At 42.1% G+C, this 3744-nt stretch overlaps 1 annotated feature.

Moving 5' to 3' along the window:
* Positions 558-1757: an enhancer, noted in NCBI's record as "BRD4-independent group 4 enhancer chr1:104949659-104950858 (GRCh37/hg19 assembly coordinates)". NCBI's record gives its function as "activates an origin of replication core promoter dependent on BRD2, P300/CBP, MED14 and CDK7 cofactors, and independent of BRD4, by STARR-seq in HCT116 cells {active_cell/tissue: HCT116}" and the evidence as "EXISTENCE:reporter gene assay evidence [ECO:0000049][PMID:35650434]".

Raw genomic sequence — 3744 nt, 5'->3', positions numbered from 1 at the left:
AGCAACACTTATTCATTGCTGGTGGGTTGCAAAATTGTACAGCCACTTTGGAAACAGCTTTACAGTTTCCTGAAAAGCTAAACGTTATCTACCATATTATCCAGCAATCATGCTCCTGGCGTATTGACTTAACAATTTTGAAAGCTGATGTTGAGAGATGACAACATGCTAGCAGCCCTTGCTCGCTCTTGGTTCCTCCTCTGCCTCTGTGTGGGCTGCACTGTGGGGGCCCCTCTCTGGGGTTGGCCAAGGCTGGAGTCGGCTCCCTCTGCTCGAGGGGTGGTATGGAGGGAGAGGCACGGGTGGGAGTGGGGGTTCTGGATGGGTGCGGGCTCCACCAGTCCCACACTCAGCAGTGCCAGCTGTCGCCTGCCTGGGCTTGATGGGGGGATGAGCTCCCTCTGAGCTGCCAGAGTGCCTGGGCTAGGTGCCCCAAAGTCGGGCAGGGAGTGTCAGTGAGAGGTGAAGCCGGCTGGGCTTCTGGGATGGGTGGGGACTTGGAGAACTTTTGTGTCTAGCTAAAGGATTGTAAACACACCAATCAGCACTCTGTGTCTAGCTAATCTAGTGGGGACTTGGAGAACTTTTGTGTCTAGCTAAAGGATTGCAAACGCACCAATCAGCACTCTGTGTCTAGCTAAAGGTTTGTAAATGCACCAATCAGCACCCTGTCAAAATGGACCAATCAGCTCTCTGTAAAAAACGGGCCAATCAGCTCTCTGTAAAATGGACCAATCAGCTCTGTGGAAAATGGACCAATCAGCAGGATGTGAGTGGGGGGGGTGGTCAGATAAAGGGATAAAAGCAGGGTGCCCAAGCCGACAGCGATAACCTGCTGGGGTCCCCTTCTGTGTTGTGGAAGCATTGTTCATTTGCACTTTGCAGTAAATCTTGCTGCTCTTCACTCTGGGTGTGTGTTTCTTTTGTGAGCTGTAACACTCAGGGCAAAGGTCTGTAGCTTCACTCCTGAAGCCAGCAAAATCACGAACTCTCTGCAAAGGACAGCTACTCGGGCCAGCAAGACCATGAACCCTCCGTGAAAGACGAACAACTCTGGATAGGAGGAAGGAACAATTCCGGACGCACAACTTTTATGAGCTGTAACATTCACTGGGAAGGTCTGCAGCTTTATTCCTGAGGCCAGAGAGAACATGAACTCACCGGAAAGAATGAACGCCATCTTTAAGAGCTGTAACACTCACTGCGAAGGTCTGCAGCTTCGCTCGCGAAGTCAGCGAGACCACGAACCCACCAGAAGCGAGAAACTCCAGACACACCATCTTTAAGAACCGTAACACTCACCGCAAGGGTCCGTGGCTTCATTCTTGAAGTGAGCAAGACCAAGAACCCACCAATTCCGGACACAAGGTCAGCACAAAAATTCAAATGTTTATAGAAATTTTACTCATGTTACTGAAAGCTGGAGTCAACCAAGATATCCTCCTATAAACAAATTAATAAATACAGTACAACCATACACTTAAATGTTATTATACATTAAAAAGGTTGAGTTACCAAACAAGGAAACAACATGAATGTTGTTGAACGCATATTGCTGAGTACAAGGAAGCAGTCTGAAAGATTACATACTGTATTATACCAGTAATACAAAATTCTGGAAAAACACAGTAGTGAGTATAAAATGATCAGCGGTTGCCAGGGGTTTGGGTTGGGCAGACAGTGTGGGATAGGTGAAGCACAAGGAATTTTTTTTTTCCTATTTAAAGGTTAACCTTAGACTTAATTTATAAAGAAAAAAAGATTTATTTGGCTCACTGTGCTGCTGGTTTGAACACTGGGCCTCTGGTAAAAGCCTCAGGCTGCTTTCATTCATGGCAGAAAACAAAGGGGAGCCTGTATGTGCAGAGTACACGGTGACAGAGGAAGCATGTAAGGGGGAGTAGGGGCAGACTATTTTTAACCATCGGCTCTCATAGAAACTAACAGTCCAAGCACTCACTCAGGCCCCCCCATCACCACAGGGAGGGGATTAATTTATTCATAAAGACTCTGCCCCAATGACCCAGACACCTTCCATTAGGCCTCACCTTCAACACCATAGATCAAATTTCAACATGAGGTTCAGGGAAGCAAACATCTATACTATAGCAGGATGCATGACATTGCATTTGTCAAAATCCATTGAATTATATGGCACAAAAATATGAACCTTAATGAATGCAAATTTTTAAAATATCATGTAGGAGGTGTAATGATTCAATTGTGGAATGAGGAATGTGACAAAACAATGTGACTGTGTTCAAAATGTATGAAACTGGCTGGGCGCCGTGGCTCAAGTCTGTAATCCCAGCAGTTTGGAAGGCCGAGGTGAGCAGATCACCTGAAGTCTGGAGTTTGAGACCAGCCTAGCCAACATGGCTAAACCCCATCTCTACTAAAAATACAAACATTAGGTGGGCATGGTGGCAGGCGACTATAATCTCAGCAACTTGGGAGGCTGAGGCAGCAGAATTCCTTGAACCCGGGAGGCGGAGGTTGCAGTGAGCCGAGATCACACCATTGCACTCCAGCCTGCGCAACAGTGAGACTTCATCTCAAAGGAAAAAAAAAAAAAGTATGAAACAACCTTACTAAAGAAGGTTGAGGGAATAGTAACTCCAATAGAGTTTGTGATACTAAAGGCAAAGAACTGTACATAGCTATTATATTCTGGTTGATAAAATAGTTTACCACAGGGGTTGGATAAAAAGTTTGAATACTCTTATATGTATACTGGAATTGAACAATTAGGCAAATGGATGGCAAATGATAGAAGTCAGATTTCTCACTGTGTGAGTTGGAAGTTACAGGTAAGCAAGAGAAGATGGGCAGAACAATTCACATAATAGTGGATTAGAGTCAGAGACACTAGTATGAATTTGTGCTTACTCTGATATAGAAAAATTGGTAACAAAAGAAAATATTTACAGAAATGCGTATGTACACATACTAGTATACACACCTGTATTTGTGTATGTATCTATGCCTTGTTTTGTCTGGGCCTAGAGGACCTTTTGAGAGGGTCTAGAAATAATGACACCGTGGTAACCCAACAAGGATCTGGATCTTAGTTTCCATTCTCCAATTAAAAGAACCAGAGTTCACTAAATACAATTCTCGGATGGGTTCAAGAAGTATACAAGATAAGTTTGGGCCATCTTTCAGTGTCAGAAAGTAAGGATGTGTACCACAATACGTTCAGTAAGTACTTAAAGAGTACCCTTGCAGATGATCATTAAAGTATTTGAACTAAAATGACTCTACACTTCTACAGGGAGCCACAATAACACACTAAAAATAATTAAAGTAAATTTTGAATTAAAATAAAATTTAAACCCCCATTTTGCTCTTTATCTGTCTTTAATACTGTAAAAATACTTGAAACTTCTCTATTGAAAAATGCTAAAATATCTCTGTGGGTATAACGGCAAATACAAAACATAAATCAGCAGACACTGAAATTTGCAGCTCTACTAATCAAACAAATGGGCTCTTCTTACTATAAAATTTAACACTGAAAGTTTGAGCATGCTTATATTGATATTTTGGACAGGTTTTATTGCTTTAAATGTCTACAGATGGAATTTTTATGAAACCTCTGATAAAACAGAAGTAGAGTTATAAATCAAAATTTTAAACAAAAGCAGTTATAAATCAGAAAATCAGAGAAAAAAGAGCATAGTAAAGCCTTAAACACATAATGAAAGAGTATATATGTAATAAGAAAAGATATTATATCCATGA

This window comes from Homo sapiens, chromosome 1 (genome assembly GCF_000001405.40).
Source record: "Homo sapiens chromosome 1, GRCh38.p14 Primary Assembly".
Lineage (NCBI taxonomy): Eukaryota > Metazoa > Chordata > Mammalia > Primates > Hominidae > Homo > Homo sapiens.
The sequence above is the reverse complement of the archived record's forward strand: the minus strand, read 5'-3'. Positions and strand labels throughout refer to the sequence as shown.